The sequence below is a fragment of the Homo sapiens genome, chromosome 17, assembly GCF_000001405.40.
Source record: "Homo sapiens chromosome 17, GRCh38.p14 Primary Assembly".
NCBI classification, from domain to species: Eukaryota; Metazoa; Chordata; class Mammalia; order Primates; family Hominidae; genus Homo; species Homo sapiens.
The window spans coordinates 35,343,440-35,349,815 of record NC_000017.11 but is presented as its reverse complement, the minus strand read 5'-3'; the positions used below and the strand labels follow the sequence as shown (position 1 = coordinate 35,349,815).

Below are 6,376 nucleotides of genomic sequence, written 5' to 3'. Positions count from 1 at the left end.
TCTTTATTTTATTTTATTTTATTTTATTTTATTTTATTTTATTTTATTTTATTTTATTTTGACAAGGTCTTGCTCTCTCACCCAGGTTGGAGTACAGTTGGGTGATCACAGCTCACTGCAGCCTTTAACTCCTGGACTCCAGTGATCCTCTCACCCCAACTAGCTGAGAAGCTGGAACTGCAGGTGCATGCCACTACACCTGGCTATTTTTTTAAAAAAATTTTGTAGAGGACGGGGTCTTATTATGTTGCCCAGGCTGGTCTCAAACTCCCAGGCTCAAGCATTCCTCCTGCGTGGGCTTCCTACAGTGCTGGGATTACAAGTGTGAGCCATTGCAGTGGCTATTTCCCTGTTTTATTACTGTATTGTTGTGATGCATTCATCACAACTAAGGAACCAACCTTACTTAGTACATGACTATTAACTAAACCCCACATTTTATTTGGATTCTCCAGTTTTTTTTTTTTTTTTTTTTTTTTTTTTGAGACGGAGTCTTGCTCTGTCGCCCAGGCTGGAGTGCAGTGGCATGATCTCGGCTCACTGCAAGCTCTGCCTCCGGGGTTCACGCCATTCTCCTGCCTCAGCCTCCCGAGTAGCTGGGACTACAGGCGCCCGTCACCACACCTGGCTAATTTTTTGTATTTTTTTAGTAGAGACCGGGTTTCACCGTATTAGCCAGGATGGTCTCGATCTCCTGACCTTGTGATCCGCCCTCCTCGGCCTCCCAAAGTGCTGGGATTACAGGCATGAACCACTGCACCCGGCCTGGATTCTCTAGTTTTTCTCTAATGTCTTTGCCTACTCCAGGATCCCATCCAGGACACCATACTACATTTAGTGGTCATGTTTCCTTACACTCCTCTGACCTGTGATGCTTTATTTTTGATGACCTGGACAGTTCTGAGGAGTACTGGTCAGGTATCTACAAATAAAATGTCCTTCAGTTTGGGTTTGTCTGATTTTTTTCTCAGACTGGGGTTATAGGTTTTCAAGAGGAAGACCACAGGAATGAAGAGGTATTCTCATCACATCACATCAAGGGTATATGCTATCAACATGCCTTATCACTCATGATATCAACCTTGACCAGCTGACAGAGGAAGTGTTTGCCAGGTTTCTCTACAGTGAAGTTACTTTTCCTTCCTCCTATGTTGCTAAGTGCAGCTCACACTCAAAGGGTGAGGATTGAAGCTCCACTTTCTTGAGGGGGCCAATGTCTATATATCCTACAAAATAATTTATCTATATAAATTATTTGGAATTCTTCATTTACTTGTAAGAATGGACTTATAGATATTTATTTAATACTTTGTGTTATATTCCAACGCTACATTATTTATTTAGATGCTCAGATTGTTCTAGTATTAGGCATATACAGGATATCTGGCAAAAGTCATAACAGATAGAGTGTGGTAGCTCACGCTTGTAATCCCAGTACTTTGGGAGGCTGAGGTGGGCAGGTCACTTGAGGCTAGGAGTTTGAGACCAACCTGGCCAATATAGTGAAACCCCACCTCTACTAAAAATACAAAAAAATTCAGTCGAGCATGGTGGCACAAGCCTGTAGTCCCAGCTACTCAGGAGGCTGAGGCATGAGAAAGACTTGAACCTGGGAGGCAAAGGTTGCAGTGAGCCGAGATTGCACAACTGCACTCCAGCCTGGGTGACAAAGCAAGACACTGTCTCAAAAAAAAAAAAAAAAAAAAAAATCCACCACAGTCAACATCAACAAATTAAACAAACAAATAAATAGCAATGGGGATCCAGATCTTGGTTTCTAATACCCTTAAGTATACAATACATTATTATTCTCTGTAGTCACCATGCTGTACAACTGATCTCCAGAACTTATTCATCCTAACTGAAACCTTGTATCCTTTGACCAACATCTCCCCATTCCCTGACCTTTGTCCCCCAGCCGGCCCCTGGCATTCTTCTACCCTCTGCTTCCATGAGTTCAACTATTTTAGATTCCACATATAATTGGAATCATGCAGTATTTGTCCTTCTGTGCCTGGCTTATTTCACTTAGCTTAATGTCCTCCAAGTTCATCCATGTTGTTGCAAATGACAGGATTTTCTTCTTTTCTAAGGTTGAAGAGTATTTCATTTTGTGTGGTGTGTATTTGAGAGTGTGTGTATGTGTGTATGTAACACATTTTCTGTATCTGTTCATGCATCAATGGATAGTTTAATTCCACATCTTGGTAATTATTAACAATACTACAATGAACATGGGAGCGTAGATACCTCTTTGACATACTGATTTCACATCTTTTAGATATATACCCAGAAAAGGGTGCTTGCAATTGAAATTTAATTAACCAGAAATGGGATTGCTGGATCATATGATAGTTATTTTATAACCATGGCTGCTGCTTCCAGAAAACATGGTTACTTCCTTGCCTAACTATCCTGCCTCACCAGCAGTATGCATTGGCTTTTCTTTTTTTTTCTTTTTTTTTTGAGACAGGGTCTTGCTCTGTTGCCCAGGCTGGAGTGCGGTCACTACAGCCTGGAAACTCTGGGCTCAAGGGATCCTCCCACCTCAGCCTTCTGAGTAGTTAGGACTACAGGCGCTGGCCACCAAGCCTGGCTAATTTTGTTTCTCTTTTTTGTAGAGAGGAGGTCTCCCTTTGTTGCCCAAGCTGGTCTCAAACTCCTGGGATCATGTGATCTTCGCACCTCAGGCTCCTCAGTAGCTGGTACTACAGGCATGCTCACCATATTTGGCTAAAATTTTTTTTTTTTTTGTAGCTACGGGGTCCCTCAGAATTGTCCACGCTCGTCTTGAACTCCCCTCAAGCGATCCTCTCACCTTGGCCTCCCAAAGTGCTGGGATTACAGGCGTGAGGCACTCCACCCATAGTGGCTTTTGATACCCTCAGAAAACAGCTAATTATGTGTGCCTACGGGGTTATTCCGTTTGTACCATCAGGGTAACATTTTCAGCCGTCCTATTTCTCTGGCAAAACCTTTTGGGCCCTCGGTGACTTTTTGCTGAATGGGTGACCCCCTCCCAGGGCAGGGCCATAAGAATCACTGGAGAGATGAGGGTCTGGGGAGGCGCAGAGAGAAGGCTGAAGGCGGTCTCACTTTCCTGCACCAGGAAAGGGAACGAGGAGCGCTGCACTCTCCCAGTCCTGGAGAGGACAGGAAAACGCTGCCACCGCGGAGACAGACGCCTACAGCGTGGGCTTTAAATCCAGCGTGGGTGTGGGGCAGCGTTGAGGCTCGATCTTCCGCCCTGCCCCTTAGACAGAGAAGGGAAGGAAGTCGAGGTCAGGAGGGGAGGGAGGGGAAAGGGCGGGAGGGAAATCGGAAGAGGGAAGGGCCGGGGAGGGAGGGAAAGAGGCCCGGGAGGATACGCCCGACGCTTCCATTGTAGTGGGGCTTCACTTGCCAAGGTGGAAGTGGTAGCGCCGGTGGTGGTACACTTTTTCGTACTTCTGAAATATTTCATAATTAACATTTGAGGAATTTTTTCTTTTTTGAAACAGGAACTAGCTCTGTCGCCCAGGCTGTAGTGCAGTGGCGCAATCACGGCTCACTGCAGCCTCCAGCTCCTGAGCTAAAGGGATCCTCCTGCCTTAGCTTCCTGAGTAGTTAGCACTACAGATTAGGGCCACCAGGCCTGGTTAATTTAAAAAAAAAAAAAATCCTCCCGCCTCTGCCTCTGCCTGTGAATTTGCTGGGATTGCAGGACTTAACCGCAGTGCCTGACCTAAGGAATCACTCAACCTCATTCCGGCAGGGATGACCACACGTGTTCAGGACATTTCCCTGGTAACTGGACTCGTCTTTAGTTCCCTGGGCTGCTCTCCTCCCGCGGTGACAGCCGTTCCCGGGGTGACCTCACTGCGCGCCCTGGAAAGGGCGAGACCGACCTCAGTACCCGCCTCGGTTTCCTTGCGGAGAATTTAAACCACTTCTGAGGGCCCTGAAGACAGTTCCGCGTCTTTTTTTTTTCTCTGTAAATGAGCTTTCTCCAGCCTATTTCGCAGACCCTGCGAACTTCAGATTCTCCCCTCATCCCGGCGGATCTGGGGATCCTCACTCTGACCAGTTGTTGGTGGGCTTGAAGGCCAGCGTCCCCTGGGGTTGGACCCTGTCTAATCCTCGCCTGCCCGGAAAAGGGGTGGGTGGGCATCAATCTCTGCAGCGCGCGAGCAGCAGGCGGCTGCGGAGGGGCGTGGGTTAGGGAGGTGGGTGCGGGCCTAAGCCTCTGAGCGCAGCACCCACCTCAGGAGGAGCCAAAGAAGATGCCTGCAGCAGGAGTCTCGGGTCCTGCGCCGACAGCATTACCCTGGGGAATTGTCTTGGTCTTTGGATTCTGGAGATGCGAGAAACTAGGACGGAGACCACAGCTGCAGGGAAAAGGCGACCAGTGCACAGAGCCTGTGCTCTATTGCTTTATATATTACTATAAAAATAACTGTATTGAGCTATAATCGATATACATGAAATTGCACTTGTTTAAAGTGTACAAAATGATGGATATCGGCCTATGTAGAATCCCTTGAAATCATCACCGCACTTAAGACAATGAGCCTATGGGGAGGGCTGGGTAAGGAGAGTGAGGCAGGAGAGTGAGGCACCTGCTAGTGCAAAATTGAAGGGGGCACCAAAGAAACACCACCTCTCAGTGACCAAGATAAACAATATTTTAAAATCAAAATTAATGCAAACATTTCTGATGAATAAAATATAAAAATGCTAAATGAAGAGAGGATCCAACTTTGCATTTGCCGGGCCCTGTGTCACTCCTCTCATCCTAGTCACACCTGTTGGGATTACAGGCATGAGCCACCATACCCTGCCCATTCTGGGTTTTAAACTGTACTTTATTTATTACTATTCTCTTTTTTTAAAACTGATCAACCACAAGCATACAAAAGTTCTCTGAATGAATGGAACTGTTTCCACACCTGGGTATTAACAGGCAAATTTTGAAGGTCATTCGATTTGGAATTTTCTTTTCTATAGCACTTCTAATCAGTGTGTGTGACACACACCTCAGAGGTAGGAAAGACTGTTTTTAGTAAATTATCTTCTTAATTGTAGAGAATTCCTGAAAATAAAACTGATGAAATTGTAAATTCTGCCTTGATGAGTTTCCAAAGGACAGATTCATGGTGTCCTATTTGAAGAATTAATCCCCTGGAATGTTCCAGCCTTTGTTGGACACTTGATAACAAGATCCACCAAGGGTTAGGGCAAGTGCACTAAGAAAGCCTTCTGCTACTCTCCGTCTCTTATTCTTTAGACCATCCAGTCTTGCTGGCAGAGAGGTCAGTGATTGCTCTGTTGTACCCACAGGGACATGCAACAGTTGTGGAAGGAGTGATTACATTCTCCTCAGATGACAGCACAGTTCTCTTGTTTTCAGCTTGACACCCAAGAAAGGCATCCATCACCTCAACCCTGCAGATGGCAGTTGTATGGCACTCCGTGTCGCAGCTCTACATGCCCACTGTGTTTCACACCTGGAGAGAGAACATTTTTGTTGCCCTTCCAACTTGCAGCCTGTGCTCCCAGAGTGAGAGGACAAGGCACAGGGCTCCTTGCCATCTTCCACGTTAGCATTGGCAGCTGTGCAGAGCCTATAGTGGAGACTGGATTTTTGTTATTTATTCAATAGTGTTGAGACTAAATTCCAAGTAAGACACAATTATTGGACCACATTAAAAAGAAAAACAGAACAAAACAAAAAACCCACTATAGGGATGCCCAGGTAAGAACTGTATGGTTTTGGGGGTAGTGGGGAAGATAGACACACAAAAAAATACCCCAAAACAAAAAACCACAAACTGTATTTCCCATGCTCCAAAGCAGATAGATATGGCTTGTTCCCAAGGCCTGGCCAATGGAATATTGGAAGGTAATGTGTATAATTTTCATATTGTGCTCGTGAAAAGAGTGTGAATTCTTTTCTGCTGGCTGAAATGTTGACAAGATGCCAGAATCTGGTACAGTCATCTTGGAGCAAAAGATGGTGTGATAAATTGAAATATTGTTTGATAAGGTTGATATCCCTACCCAGAAGTAGATCATATTCTGTGCCCCATTGGTCTCAGGCTTGGCAATGTGACTTGTTATGATCAATGAAGTATAAGCAGGCATAACGTGTGTTACTTCCAAGAAGAACTCTTAAGAGTCATTGAGTGTTTCTGCCATGTTCTTTTTCCCTTCTGGTATAAGATAGGCAATGACCCAGATTTGGCTGCTTTGTCTGGGTCCTGGAATGAAAACAATGAAGAGTAGAGCCAAATGGGATCCACAACAGACATATAGTTTAAGAAAGAAATTAACATTTGTTATTTTTAAACAGTCATGGAAACTTTGGGGATAATTTGTTACCACAGCAAAATCTGGC

General features: G+C 45.2%; 1 pseudogene; it reads right to left on the bottom strand.

Annotated features, from left to right (window-relative positions):
• Positions 1-5,241: 5,241 nt before the first annotated feature.
• LOC101060119 (RING-box protein 2-like) lies at positions 5,242-5,623 on the bottom strand (annotated as a pseudogene).
• Between the last annotated feature and the right edge of the window lie 753 nt (positions 5,624-6,376).